Raw genomic sequence first — 16,139 nt, 5'->3', positions numbered from 1 at the left:
CCTATGTGATCCTCACTCATTGTTGATTGAAGTTTCATAAGCAAGAAGAGTGGAAAGGAATTAGGTTAGGAAATTCTTTCTTTGTCATCCTTATAATTTAGAAAAACATTCACAAGTTCATAAGGATATTTAAAGTTTTAATTTCACTTGTAGAGTAGCCCCAGATCCTTGTCAAGTTTCTCTGGAAGTCAAGAGTGCCATAAAACACTTTGAAAAATGTCACTGGTCAATTTTGCTGTCTCAAGACAGGTTACCCCTAAACTACCATGGAAAGATTCATGAGCAACTTAGGGTAGCGACGATGTCTTTTCTCCTTATCTTCCTATACCTAGAATAGTGCCCAGCATAGTATGAGTTTATCACATGTTTCTTGAATTTAACAACTTGTTTCCTGTGTATTGCTTTCAAGGTTTTACAAAAATCCCAGCATTTCACTATTCAATCTCTATTTGAAAAAAAAAAAAATCCCCAAAAACAGGAAAGAAAGGAGAATCAGAAGCCACTGGAAGCCTAGATCAAGAGAAACTTTACTGCCAAATATAGGGGATTCTCCTTCCCTCTGGGGAGCGTGTTTTGGCCGACCACATTGTCAGGAGCCTCTAATTGCTGACCAGCAAAAGGAAAATTGTCACACACCTCCCAAGAGGAGAATAAAAACAGAGCCCAGAATTCCTCTGTAACCAAGCCTAGGAGAAGATTATAGATCATATGTTGTCAGCAATTACAGTAACTGTCCCAGGGGGGCCACCCCTTTGGTATCACATTGGAACTGGGAATTGGGCAGAGAAGAGTGGGCTGAGTATGCGGTTTTGTGGGCATCAATTCACAAGTGCTAAGCCCACTTCACCACTGTGTGTGCACGTGCATGTGTGCATGTGTGTGTGTGTGAGAGAGAGAGAGAAAGAGAGAGAGAAACTATCCACCTAGATTAGAGATTTCTGGGGTTCAGGGATGCCTACGCATCTAATCCATCCAAAAATGTCCTGTCTTATAAGTTGTTGAAGATGAAGCTCTACAATGAGAAATTCACAAGAACTTTAAGTAAGAAAGGAGCCTCAGCATTCATCCAATACCTTTTCTTGCAGATTATGACACAAGAATAAATTATGACTAACCCTAATTTAAAATTAGGTTAGTGGCAGACCCATAACAGACAGCCCAGGGAAGTTCGGAAAGCTAGAACTTACATCGCTTGATCCAAGCCCAACCTGCTTTCCACTGCACTTCACTTAGTCTTCTGTTTTGTTAACCAAGGGAAGATTTTAAACTTTATCCATCATTCATGTGCAGTATTTCCTGAGCCTCAGTCATTTCCTTACCTCCTTTGCAATTTTGCTCTACACCATCTGTGTACAATTTGTACTATTTGTTATCTATTAGTTTTCTCAAAATTCATGTTTAATCTGTGGCACAGATTGCCATCTGACCCCTAGTTTTCATTCTTCCCCTCTTAGGGGCAAGAGAGCACCCCCACACCACTGAGTTCTAGCTGTGGACACGGCCACCCAGTAATCCTTGCAGCAGGGTACAGCCAGGTGAGAACAGAATGTCAACAGAAGCAATATATGAAACCTCTACTTATTTAAAAGAAATCCCTTAACATGAAATTCTTCTCTGTCTCCCTTCTAACAAGTTAGAAATAGTAAGGTCATGTGGTAGCTTCATGACAATGCCATAGAATTAAATGAAATGACATAACGGAAAGAATACAGGTTCCTAAACAAGTTCAGGGACCCAAGCTCCAGCAACTACATTAGAGACAAACGAACTCTTATTTAAGATGCTGTATCTTGGGGACCTCTTTGTTATAGCAGCTTATTGTTTATTGTACCTAAAACAACAACTCACGCAATAATATCTATTAAAAATCTGGAATGTATTTAATCTTTTCTATTTGGTAAATACCTTAAATTCTATATAACTATTCAAATAAACAATATTTGTTCAAATACCAGCTACAAATAATTCCTTTCCCACAGAAGCATGAATACCCATCTTGGGGAAAGATTGATATAAGGGAAGTAGAAACAAGCTTTGATCAGAATAAGTGGTAAGGGCATTCAGGCATTGAGAAAAGAGAAAGAAATACAAGAAAAATAAAGGCTGGGTGCCTGAAAGTAACTTTCACCCTCTTTGCCATCTGGCCTTGTGAGCCTACATGGTGCCACATAGTCCAGGAAAGAGGCCAAGGAATTCCAGGGGTACCCCAGCTTCATCTCCATCTATAAGAAGGATCCTGGCATTGGCAGGGAGGCAGACATCTCTCACCATCACCTCCCACCAAATGTTCAAGGTTGATGGGGCTTCACAGCTGGTGGGCGCCATTTTAGGAGGCAGTAGTTGCACAAGAGTCTGGCCTGCCTCAGCTATTCATCCTGCCCGGAGCCCGCCTTCCTGTGCAAACCAAGGAGAAAGAGGCAAGGCATTCAAGGAGCTTAGTAAGAGGCAATGTTGTCTGTATTGGCCAAGCCAGGCAATTCTTTTGTGCATTCTCATGTTGGGCTTTCCCGCATAGCTCCTCTCCCACAGGTGATGTGCATGAGAGGATACAGATTGGAAACACCTGTGCCAGGAACCCGCCTCCCACCCTGACCTACACTTCCCACCCCCACTACACCACATGGCCTTGGTCCTAACTTCAGCATGTCTCTGGAAATGTACAACTGCAGTTTTGCCTGGGACCAGCTTGGGGGCAGAAGAAAATGGGTTTTTAAACTAATTTTCAGAAAACAATATTTATCGTTTTAGCTTCCCATCTGGAATTATTTTTAAAACACACATACACAATGGCAGGTTTTGCCTGCATCTCTAACTCTGCATTTGACCCCTGCACTGATTCTATTCTGCACAGAACAGAGTCAAGTCAGATAACTCTACATCCTTTTCCTTAGAAAGTGGTTGGTGCAAGCCTTTCTCTTCCCACTAAGGAGTCCTACGTTGAAGTATCTTTCAAGTCACTGTCAGTGAAAAATCCTGGATTCTCCTGTCCGGACCATACTCACCCATCAGAGTTAACACACAAAAGTGCAATTTTTGAGTAACTACTTTCATATGTATGAAAAGGAAAATCTATTTTAGTGCCAAAGCTAAGCAGAATTGACATGAAAACAAATCACTCTGATTAGCAAAAAGAGCATAGACATTAAAGGGAGACAAACCAGCTCGGCAACAAGTAGCTGGTTCAACCCAAGCGAGTTAATTCATGTCTCAGAGCTTCAAATTTCACAGTCTAGAAAACGGAGATGATATGGCTGGGCATGGTGGCTCACACCTGTAATCCCAGCACTTTGGGAGGCCAAGGCGGGTGGATCACCTGAGCTCAGAGGTTCGAAACCAGCCTGGCCAACATGACAAAACCCCGTCTCTACTAAAAATACAGAAATTAGCCCGGCATGGTGGCACGTGCCTGTAGTCCCAGCCACTAGGGGGGCTGAGGCAGGAGGATCGCTTGAACCCAGGAGACAGAGATTGCAGTGAGCCAAGATTGTGCCACTGCACTCCAGCCTGGGCGACAGAGTGAGACTCCGTCTCAAAAAAAAAAAAAAGAAAGAAAGAAAATGGAGATGATAACTCCTATCACATAAGGTTGTTGGGTGAACTAAATGAGATGACATATATAAATCTGAATAACATAATGCCCAGCAGGTACCCTAAAAATGCAAGCTATCTTTTTCCCACTTTCTCCTTTCCCTCGAAAACAAGTTAGTATGTTAGACAACTGAAATAGAACAATTTTCATTTTATGCTTCATATGTTTCTATATTTTTCTATATTTTCCAAAAATTCTTCAGTAGTATGTATTAATTTCTTGAAAAAGAAAAGTTATTTACAAAAATAGCATCATCTCTGCACAGAAACCTACTTGTCTCCACAGCTTAATTTCATTTACTTCCTGTTTATTTCTTCCTTCCAATAACTAATGTTAAGAAATCATATCATTTAGAGTAAATTATTTTTCAATTGATAGTAAAGATAAATTTATTGTAACAATTAAAGCAAGCTCCTCTGTTTGCCTTTTAAACATCATCCCATTAGAAAATAAACATAAGCAACAGCTCAGCTGTTACAACTGAGAAGTATAAATGCAATATTTCTCTCATTACAGGATGAAATGATGGTTTTGCATGTAGAATGAAGCAAGTACATCGAAAATTTTGATTACTCAATTATGTCTACATATGTTACAGTATTTAAACATTTTACCATCTTAGAATGATCTTTTAATATTCTAGTATTTATAAATTACACATGGCTTCAGATTCATTCTTTCCTGGAAATCCAACAACCTTGATACATATAAACTAAGCTCCAAGCATGAAAGTAGGATGTCAGTAGAACGTTGCTGCCAGGGAACAAACAGTACCTGACCTTCCCTGGCACCATTCCCTGTGTGTTTACTACGTTAACATAGGAGGATGAATTTAGGCAAAGAGCCGGATCCTATTCAGCTATCACCTGCAGAACCTATACTCAGCTAGACACTAAGACACAACTACTGATTGTAAACAATTTATTTACTATGTCATGATTATTTGTTATAAAATAGAAGGAAGTTCATTAGTGTCTATATAAGATTTTGTGTTTCCTTCACCAGTGCCTCACTGCTTAAAGAAAACAGACAAAAGAAGTGCTGGAAAGCTAGGCTGGTGTTTTCTTCTAGAGCCATGGAGCTGCCACAGCCAGTTTGTAACTGGTATGTGCCCTAAGCCTGAAGGTTAAATCTGGGACCCCCCAGCCAAAAACTTGGATGTGCAGAAAGACTTACCTGAGGAAACTCTCTAAAATACAGTTGTCCCCTGTGCCACCCCCAGAGATCTTATGTAGTAGTACACTTAGGGTATGGCTTAGGAATCCAAGTGTTTAAAGCTACCCAGGTAATTCTGAACCAGGCACCAGAAAATCATGCTTACACCCTCTCCTCACTCCAGGGGAGAGGCAAACCTTTCTTTAATTAACTTGAGAAAGATAAAGTTTACAGAATTTTCATTTGCTATGGGGCATTGTGTTTAAAGTAGGAAAAATGTAGTAAATATTTACAGGAAAAATATTTTTTAAATGTTTCTGTTCAATGAGTATTTATTAGGTATCAGCTAAATGCCAGACAGTGTGTTCCCAGACAAATCAGCAAACAGCTTCATCCTAACTTTTCATCATCCTCAGAAACCTAATTCTTCCCAAAACAATAGGGGAAACATAGATAAGAAGATGTTGAATAAACTAATAGTTTGGAACATCACTGAAGACAAGAACAGCAACAACCATGTAAATGAAAAGGTTAAATGAAGTGGTGATTAAACTTTTACACTGACTTGAGGCTGATTATATTTTTCTTGTACAATAAATGGAACTACCAAGACTCTATGGCAAGTCACAAGTTACTAGGCCAGAGCTGACTTTTAGAATTTTTTGTGGGTTCCTAGTTAAGACTGAGAATATAGTATAGGGTAAGATTGGAGCCAGTTTGTTCTCTTGTTCAAAATGTAACTGTGACCAAGTAGATGTTTCATTAGCAAGTAATGTATATCCCCTTCATCCAAAAGTAATTACTTACTTAATTTTCACAAGTGGCTTTTTACAAGGAGGTGCTTGTTCCCAGAGCCCTTGTAAGCAAGAGATGAAAACCTGTAATGGCTTCATCTCCTAATGCTTGCTGCCTCTCTCACTGCAAATATAACAAGATTCTCCATGGCATATTTCTTCTTAATTGACTGAAATAATCTTCTCACATATGTTATACCTTTGTTGTTTTATACTTTGATGTAGCTTTGTTATATTTCAATTAAATTCCTTTGAAACATGGCTTTAGAAAGTCTAAATAGCCAAATGAGATTTATGACAGTAATGCAAGGATGGTTCAATGTTAGGAAATCTATTAATATAATAAATCATTTTAATGGAACAAAAGAAAAATTTATACAATCATATCAATTTGAGGACACATTTGAAAACATTCACAATCATTACTGATGAAGTTTCCTAATAAGAATAGGATGGTTAGATCACTTCCTTAAAGTGATTAATATCTGCTGTATGTTCATATCCTGGGCTCTAAGCCCCATGCTTTAGAGCCTACCCCCACTGCTGGACAACCCTCAGGTTACCCAGGACAACAGAATTCCCTGCACAAGTGTCTCTAAAGCCAGATTCTGGGGCAGCACATCCTCTTTCCTGGGTTCATATTCCAGTGGGAAGACAATACACTCCCAAAATGTACAAACCCTAGGTGCTGGCAATGACCAAAGAGTGGCTGTTTACAAGTGAGTGAAAACAGAGCTTAGAAGTTTGGCTGTGGAATCTTAGCACATGAGCTGAGCATTAGGTCCCAGAATTTGGGTCAGAGCTAGGTATGATATGAGAAAGAAAGCAGGCTAAAATGCCCTGAATTCTTCACGCTGCTACATTCCAGCACAGGACCTAAAAAGTGCTGACGTCTACACTTGAATCTGGGCTTCAGAGCTTGATGAAGAATATTTTTCATGATAAACAATTGTCACTTAACACTTTTAGCTTGATTAACAACTTCAAAATATTTACAAATTTCTTTTGCTGGCCTCCATTTGGACTCCTGTCCCAGCTCCCATAAATGTCAGGGACAGCCCAGTATAGCATAATGTAGTCTAGTATAATAGAGAATAGTTTTATCTTGAGCCAGAAATCAATATCACACATAATAGGGAAAAACAAAAAACAATCCTTGTAAAGGAGGAGCAAATGAAAATTATCACTACTATTTTTTTTAGAGATAGTATCTCACTCTGTTGACCAGGCCAGATTGCAGTGGCTCACTGCAGCCTTGAACTTCTGGGCTCCAGTGATCCTCCTGCTTCAGTCTCCCAAGTAGGTGACACCACAGGCACATGCCACCATGCCCAGCTAATTTTCTTATTTTTTTTGTAGAGACAGTGTCACTACATTGCCCAAGCTGGTCTGGATCTCCTGACCTCAAGCTCTCCCAGCTCAGTCTCCCAAAGTCCTGGGATTACAGGTGTAAGCCACTGCACATGGCCTATAACTACTATTAATTAACATTGCTCTTGACATTAGCCAAAACAGTTAGATAGGAGTAAGAACTTACATACATAAACAATTGATAAAGAAGAAGTAAGTAACCATTACTGGTAGATGATATGATTGTCTGATTAGAATATCCAAAAAAGAAATTTAAAAACATTAGAAATCATTTTTAAAGTAAATTCACATAACAAAATTAATATACATAAATCAATAGCTTCAGCCAATTAACAAATAAAGTATGAGAAAAAATCTATTTGTAATTGGAACAAAAATATATACACATAAAGGTAATTTAAAATTTGCAACATATACAAATTTTGCTCTCAGGTAGATAAATAAACCTGTAAGAATGATCATGCCAATTCTAAAAAAGAAGAATATTTAAGGGAACTGGCTGCATCAGAGATTAAAATCTATTATAAAGCTATAATGATTAAAATAAATTGCTGCTTTCTCTAAGGAGAGAGAGAAAGGGCAATGTAAAAAAAGAGAGTATCCAGAAATGGACCAAAATGGATAAGAGGAAATATAAGGTATAATAAGAGTATTTTTTTAAATAATGTTGGAACATCTCATTGCAATAACTATTTGATGGGGAGTGGATTGTGGAATGTAGTGCCTCAGTATATGTGTAAAATATATCCCAGAGATGTGAAGAATGTTGATGTCTACAATTAAATTAAATTAAAGAATACTAGAAAATCATGTGGACTTTTGTAGCAACTTAGAGTAGGTAGGCCTTTCTAAGTAAGACACAAAGCCTAGGCTCATTAAAGAAAGAAATGAAAATTTGATTACATAAAAAATAAAATTTAGTAGAGAAAAAATGATAAAATCCTGTGCACATCTATAATTAATATGGTTATTAAAAAGAAAATGAAAAAATAGTTGCAAGATGAAGGACTAATCTCTAATGTCTTTAATATGTAATCTTCATACATAATGAATAAATTAATAAGAAAAGCAAAAATTCTATAGAAAAAGAGAAAGGGGGAAGAACATGCAAAGAATATTCACAGAAGAAATATGAAAAGATACTGAACTCATAATAAAGTAAATAAATAAAACTATAATAAAATACATGTTTTTAGCCTTTCATCCTAGCAAAGATCAAAAAAAAGATCAATAATAAACTATTGATGCATGTAGAGTCTACATGAGTACTCTCTCTCTCCTTGACTCCACAAATTCAGCTATAGAAATTCACCCTGAGACACTCTTGGTACGTTAGTGTGAAAACTAATCTAAAAGTCTATTCAGTGCAGCATTATTATCAGTAGCAAAAGATAAAACAACCAAAATGTCCATCATAATGGATTGGTTAAATCAATGTTGTTACCCACATCCAACTGAACACAATACCACCATTTTCTAGAACAGTAAGTGTTAATGTATGAATATAGAGCTAAATACCTCAAAGATACATTGTTATGTAAAAAAAAAACAAGAGAAAGAACAGTTTGAGCCATATACCTATGATGCTTCTATCTGTGTGTGCGCATGTGTGTGTTTAAGAATTAGATACAAATGTGTGTTGGGAGAAGACTGAGGGACTAGAAGTCAGGGGTTGGAAAGAGGCTCTTTTTTTTTTTTGAGAAGGAGTCTTGTTCTATAACCCAGGCTGGAGTGCAGTGGCACCATCTCAGCTCACTACAACCTCCCCTTCCTGGGTTCAAGCAATTCTCCTCCCTCAGCCTCCCAAGTAGCTAAGATCACAGGCGCCTGCCACCACGCCCCACTAATTTTTGTATTTTTGGTAGAGACGAGGTTTCACGATGTTGGCCAGACTGGTCTCAAACTCCTGACCTCAAGTGATCTGCCTGCCTTGGCCTCCCAAAGTGCTAGGATTACAGGTATGAGCCACTGTGTCCAGCCAAAAGAGGCTCTTTTCTTCCTGTTCTGTTATTTGTTATTTCTTTTATTTTGCACACATATTCATTTTTTTCTAAAACAAACTAAAATACTGAGATCTTTAAAAACATTTTATAGCAAAAGCAATAAAAGAAAAAACAGGTAAGTCAGACTTTATCAAAAATAAAAATATGTGTGCTTCAAATAATACCATCAAAAGTAAAAAGACAACCCACAGAATGGGAGAAAAATTTTGCAGATTATAATACATATCTGATAAGGGACTTACATCCAGAATATACAAAGAATTCTTACAACCCAATAAGATAAATAACCCAATTAAAATGATGGGCAAAAATTTTAAAATAGACATTTCTCCAAAGAAGTTAAACAACTGACCAATAAGTATACAGAAAGATTCTCAACATCATTAGCCATCAGAGAAAGGCAAATCAAAACCACAATGTGAGGCACAACTTCACACTCACTAGGAAGGCTATGATTAAAAAGACAGTAAGAAATGTTGGTGAGTGTCTTATTCCATGTATGCTGCTATAATAAAATACCCAAGACTAGGTATCATATGTAAAGAACAGAAATTTATTTCTCACAGTTCTGGAGTCCAAGATCAAGACACCACTAGATTTGGTGCCTGGTGAGAGCCATCAGTGCATCTTCTCCCCACAGCATGGCCAAAAGCAGAAGGGCAAAAGGAGTGAACGCCTTTTTTATAAGGCACTAATCCAATTTATGAGGGTGGAGCCCCCATGACCTCATCACCTCCAGAGGTCCCCACCTTCTAATATTGTCGCATTGGGAATTAAGTTTCGACATGAATTTTGGAGGAAACACAAATATTCAAACCATAACAGTGAGGATGTAGAAAAATTGAAACCCTCATAAATTGCTGGTGAGAATGTGAAACAGTGCTACCATGTCGAAAACAACTTGGCAATTTCTCAGAATGTTAAGCATAGAGTTACAATAGGATGCAACAATTCCATCCTTAGGTTCATTTCCATGAGAAATGGAAATACACATCCACACAAAAACACATGAATTATATTCCTAGCAACATTATTGATAACAACCTATAAGAGAAAACAACCCAAATACCCATCAACTAGTGGATAGGTGAATAAATTATTGTACAATACAATAGAGTACTATTCCACAATAAAAAGGAATGAATTACTGATATGTGAAAAGGAATAAATTACTGATATATGCTACAACGTGGCTGAATCCTGAACACATTATGCTAAGTGAAAGAAGCCAGTCACAAAAGTCCACGTATAGTATGACCCCATTTGTATAAAATGTCTCACATAGGCAAATCGATAGAGACAAAAGGTAGACTCATGGTTGCCTGGGGCTGGAGAAAGGGTACTGTGGGGAGGGAATGGGGTGTCACTGCTAATGAGCATGAGGTTCCTTTTTAGGGTGTTGAAAATATTCTAACGTTATGCTGCTCATTACATACACTGTGAATATGGTAAAAACAGTGAACTGTACACTTTAAATGAGTGAATTTTATAGTATGTGAACTATATCTCAATAAAACTCTTTTTCCAAAAAAAAAAGGGAAAAAGACATGTCATGCTGGAAGGGTTCTTAGAGGTTATCTGCTCCAGTCCCTCCTCTGCTCTTCTGAAAGCTGCCACCCAGAGAGGGTGTCAAGTGACCTTCCTACGAGAACACAGATGCACAGGGGCAGATCAAAAATTGGAGGCCAAGCCTCCTGCGTGCTGGAATGGGGGCTTGTCCCAGACAGGAAATGTAGCCTCTACATGCCTGCTGATGATACAGCCCTTTCTGGGCTCTCTCACTCAGAGGGGAAGTTTATCCTACAGGGATAATGCAGCAGTGTTGTACCCGAGCCAGACACTGCCAAAGAGGGCCATTCTTTCATTCAACAGGTATTTGTTGGGCAGCTCCATGTGCCAGGCAGTCTGAAGGGTTGGGGAGGCAACAGTGAACAAGACAAAACATTCTCTTTCTTTGTTGAGGTTGCGTCTCAATGATGATAACAGCTCATCTTTGTAACACATCATGTGTTATGCACTTTGCATGGATCATCTCATGTTATTCTCACAGCAGTCCTATGGGGGGTGGTACTCTTATTATGCCCATTTTACTGATGGAAACACTGAAGCTCAAGGAGGATAAGTAGCTACCCAAAGTCACAGAGTTAATAAACAATACAGTCAGACTTCAGTCATGACGCTCTGACCCTGGAACTATGCTTTTAACCCCTATACTGGTCAATTAAACTATGCAGACTGTAAACAGGGACAAAACCAGTCGATTAATTAGAACAATTAGTGATGAACAGGTGACTGAAAAATGTTGGAAGGGGTGTTTTGATAGCATTTAGATGAAGTGATTGGTCTATATGAGGATGGCCATTTAGGCTGAGACCTGAAGCATGAGGATCCAGCCATGGCAGCAAGAACAGAAGGTGGGGTGCCTGATGTGCTGCAGGCTGTGGGGCACAGCGGGGTCAGAAGAGGCAGAAGCCAGTAGGCAGAGCAAGCCGAGCCTGTTCGTCCATTCTAAATGCAGTGGGAAGCCACTGGATGCTTTTAAGCAAGATGGTGTACAGAGTGGTAAGATCTGATTTATAAAATCCTTCTGGCTGCTGAGTAAAGGTTGACAAGAAAGGCTGAGAGTAGCAGCAGAGAGACCAGCTGGGAGATATTGCTGTAACCCCAATGAGAGATGCTAGTGACTTGGACCAGGTGGGAGCAGGGGAGTTGGAGGGAAGGGGACAGATTCAGTATGTGTATTTGAAGTAGGGTCAATGCTCCCTGACGATGGATAGTGCATGGAGGGGGAAGGAAAGGGAAGATACGGCCGGATGCGGTGGCTCATGCCTGTAATCCCAGCACTTTGGGAGGCTGAGGCAGGCGGATCATCTGAGGTCAGGAGTTCAAGACCAGCCTGGCCAACATGGCAAAATCCCATCTCTACTAAAAATACAAAATTAGCCAGGCATGGTGGTGCATGCCTGTAATCCTAGCTACTCAGGAGGCTGAGGCAGGAGAATCGCTTGAAACCTGGAGGCAGAGGTTGCAGTGAGCCGAGATCACACCATTGCACTCCAGCCTAGGCGACAGAGAGAGACTCTGTCTCAAAAAAGAAAGAAAGAAAGAAACAAAGATAGGTGGCCTCGAGGACCCTGGTCTGGTCTTAGGTGATAATGTCCCCATATATTAACCACATATTTTCTGTATTCGGATGACTTGACATCTGGGGTCTTGCTGACTTTGGAGAGACTGCCTCTCCCAGGATTAGCCAGTTCCTAGAGAGAGTAAACAACCCTCCTGAGAGCTGCTTTTCAAATACAAACCAATCCAGAGCCAAAGCCCCCACCACCTCTTCTACCAGCTCTCACACTCTGGGCCACTACCCCCTGCCTTAATCACCCCACAGCCAGGTACCAGACAACTAGGGACAGTACCTATGACCCAGAGCCCATTGAAATTCTTCAAGCTACCCTAAAATTATCCAAAATCTGCTTAACCTCTCTTGCCCATTCCTTCCACAGAAACCACAATAAGGGCTCTGTGAACAGCTCCTCCCTCTCCATCTATCTCCTGACACACCCTGGTCCTTCCCCATGTGCCCCCACCTCCGACCCCACTTCCCACCAGCATGGTGTGCCCCCTCTTCTTAGGAACTGGTAGTAAATATGTATATATTTAGACATGATCTGTCACCCAGGCAGAAGTGTGGTGGCGTGATCATAGCTCACTGTAACCTCAAAGTCTTAGGCCCAAGCAATGCTCCTCACTCAGCTTCCCAAGTGGCTGGGACTACAGGCACACACCACCACACCTGGCTAATTTTTTTTTTCTTTTTTACTTTTTATAGAAACAGGGTCCCATTATATTGCCCAGACTGGTCTTGAACCCCTGGCTTCATATGATCCTCCTGCTGTGGCCTCCAAAAGTGCTGGGTTTGCAGGCATGAGCCACCATGCCTGGCCTAAGGCACTCTATTTTAAAACACCCCAGTCTGGCAGAATCTCACTCCTTGGGAGACAGAAAAAGGAGACACTATGTAAAGCAGACCCAGAGTGGGCAGAGTGGGGCTGTACACGAGAACGGAGGCCATGTTGTGGCCTAACAAGGATCTCCTCTGGCTTGAGATCAAGTGGGAAAGTCTCTCTTATACTCCTGAAAGAAGCACAAGAGTGCATGAGTCATGGCCCCTCTCTTCCCCAACCCAGCCCCCAGCCAGGTCGACTCACTGATACCCTTAGGCCAAGAAACAGAGCTGGGTTCTCACTCCACTGTCTCCACTGCAGGGGATGGGAAAGGAAGCTCCAGGCCCAGAATGAGGGCCTGAGTCATGGGCTTACAGCACTGTTCCTTCCCTACAAGCTGCACTCAGACACGCAACACTATTGATATCACAGACATTATTTTAACAATAGCTTCTAAGACAATTAAGTCAGTGAACATCTGTGCCTGAGGAACCCTAGGCAGGGTGTGTAAGTGGGTGGGACAGAGGTGACTGAACATATCAACACTATTAAAAGAGGTAAGAATTAGCAGAGGCACTTAGAGTGATTTCCAAGTGTTGTTAAAGGTGATCAAAGCCTTTTCTTCCTCAATAAGACCTTTACTGTGCTGTGAGTTATCACGATTAAGCAGTGGGTAGCAAATAAAATGCCCTGGCTCTTTGCAAAGTGAAGCAAGGAAATTGTGAAACTGGGTTTCAACAAGCAAGGTTTTCAAACTCCTCCCAGCAAAGTTATCGGAACCCTAGATTCTGAGGCAGTGTGAGTATGGAGACGCGCACACTCCACTGTGTCCACTCTAAAGAGTTGAGGCGGAAATGGGAAATGCCAGGACAGGGCATCTGAGCCAAGGCCTGCAAGGCACAGATGGGTGCAATGAGGCCCAAGAGGTAATGAGATGTGGTTGAGGCCACACAGGTGGGGAGAGGCAGAGTCACGCCGGACACTTGTAGGGTGGCCTGTTTCCAGGTCAGTGGGCATTTTTGAGTGGGGGCACATGTAACCTTGGAGTTCCTTCCGCTACTCACCCCACTTATTGGGCTGCCATTCCCAGGAGACAGCGCAAGCATGCCAGGCTCTTTGCATTTGACCTTCATGATGTGAACAGGCAGCCCTCTCCCAGGAAGTCCAGGTGAGGTGGCTGATTCTGCTGGCTACCATAGCACTCAACTGGTGACATGGCCTTTCTCTCTCCTCGTCTACAGTGGCTGGCTGCAGCTGCACGGAGAGCCCAGATTTTCACTTAGTTATCTTTGTATTCTCAGTGCCCAATATCATATCTGGTACTTATTTCACAAATACTGGATGAATGCATGACAGCAGGGGAAGGAGACAGAGAGGAAGAAAGGAGTGAGGAGGAGGGACGGAGGGACGGAAGGAAGCTCTGTCCCAGGCATCTTGCCTGCCATCTTCCCCCACCCAAACTCACTTTCCCACTCCCTCAAGTCCCCTCTCTCTGCTTTATGATGTGCCATTCAAATTATCTGACAAACCAATTTTTACTAAGGAATAGTGAATTAGAATGGCAAATTAACCTCTCAGCAAACTTTAAACAGAAATATATATAGGCCATATATATCTAAATAAAAATCCATATATATATTAAACATTAAAGATTAAACATTTAATCTTTGCTAGTAAAAGCAAATGGACATCTCAGAGAGGAATATATATATTCCTAAACAAAATCATCCCTGTTGCAAAGTTCTGTGAGAGAAACTGGCAGACTTTGAATGTCTCTGAAATTGGCATTTTCTCACTAGGAATACAGGCAGTCCCATTCATTAATCCAAAGAAAATAATTACATGTACAATCCAAAGCAGAAACGTGTCCCATGCTTCTCTGGTTTTACAGAACTGAGCCTCTTATCATATCTCAGAATAGGCTGGGCTTTCTTTTACATAACTCAAAATACTAATTCCTCCAAGTAATGTCATTCTGGTTAAAACATTCAGGGGAACGCACTATCAGATTTGACTGTTGATCCAACATTGGCCTATCACAAAATTGCTGCTCGAACCCTGTATTATTCTCTGGATGTCTTTTTTTTTCTAAATTAATTTTTCTAGTTTTAAAATAATTTATCACTAAAAATGGTTATCCTACTAATTCTATCAAAAAATTAAACATTTAATCTTTGTTAGACAGATTTTTTTTTTTTCGAGACAGAGTTTTGCTCTTGTTGCCCAGGCTGAAGAGCAATGGTGTGATCTTGGCTCACTGCAACCTCCACCTCCCGGGTTCAAGCAATTCTCCTCCCTCATCCTCCCGTGGGACTACAGACACGTGCCACCAGGCTCAGCTAATTTTTGTATTTTTAGTAGAAACAGGGTTTCACCATGTTGGCCAGGCGGTCTTGAACTCCTGACCTCAGGTGATCCATCCACCTCAGCCTCCCAAAGTGCTGGGATTACAGGCGTGAGTCACTGCACCCGGCCTGTTGGACAGATTTTTAAAAATCTAAATCTCTTACTATGTCACAAGAATTGATCACTTTTGTGTCTGAATGGACAGCTCCTCTTCTATATTTCATTCTTGGGCTCTATTCTATCAGAAAAACATTAGCACAAAACCCACAAAGAACTGAAAACTTGAAAGAAGCTTTAATACTTTGGATGATATTTCCTTTCAACTCACTTTCATATATTTGCTTGAAAGGAAAATGGCAACAATAATTCTTTGTGAAACAGGGAATATTGAGAAGTTTTTCCGCCATTTTTGTTTTATTTCTAGAACAGTTAAGCAGGGCCTGTACCTTCCAAAGGAGAATACACACAAAAACTGGAAAATGGAACCCTTGTCTGACTCTTGCTAAAGCCATTCTTCCCTATGCACCTTCCTTCCTACACAAGTATGGGTTTTTGCTCTTACCACCTCTGCTACTAACTTTGGAGACCAGGGAACAAAAAATGCATAGATTCCAAATACACAGAATGCCATATCTAAATGAACACAAAACTGATGTTCTTCCCAAAGCAGCCACAGGGCCCATCTCTCCAGAGGAGCAGAGGACAATTCACACTGCCCAGACATGTCGGAAGCAAACGCAAGCTGGTAGGTATGACCTGTGTAGGGACAGGTGAAGGCACATAGTTATCCCCACCATACCAAGGCCACCTGCAGACCCACATTCCACCTGTCTTGCTACAAGATTAACGAGTGCACCACAGCACTGGGGTTATTCACTTACATCCCCCACAAAGCAGGAAAAAGGAGTGAGCATGTTGGGAGATTAAAATTCACCTT

The sequence above is a fragment of the Homo sapiens genome, chromosome 18 (assembly GCF_000001405.40).
Source record: "Homo sapiens chromosome 18, GRCh38.p14 Primary Assembly".
In the NCBI taxonomy this organism is placed as follows: Eukaryota; Metazoa; Chordata; class Mammalia; order Primates; family Hominidae; genus Homo; species Homo sapiens.
The sequence above is the reverse complement of the archived record's forward strand: the minus strand, read 5'-3'. Positions refer to the sequence as shown.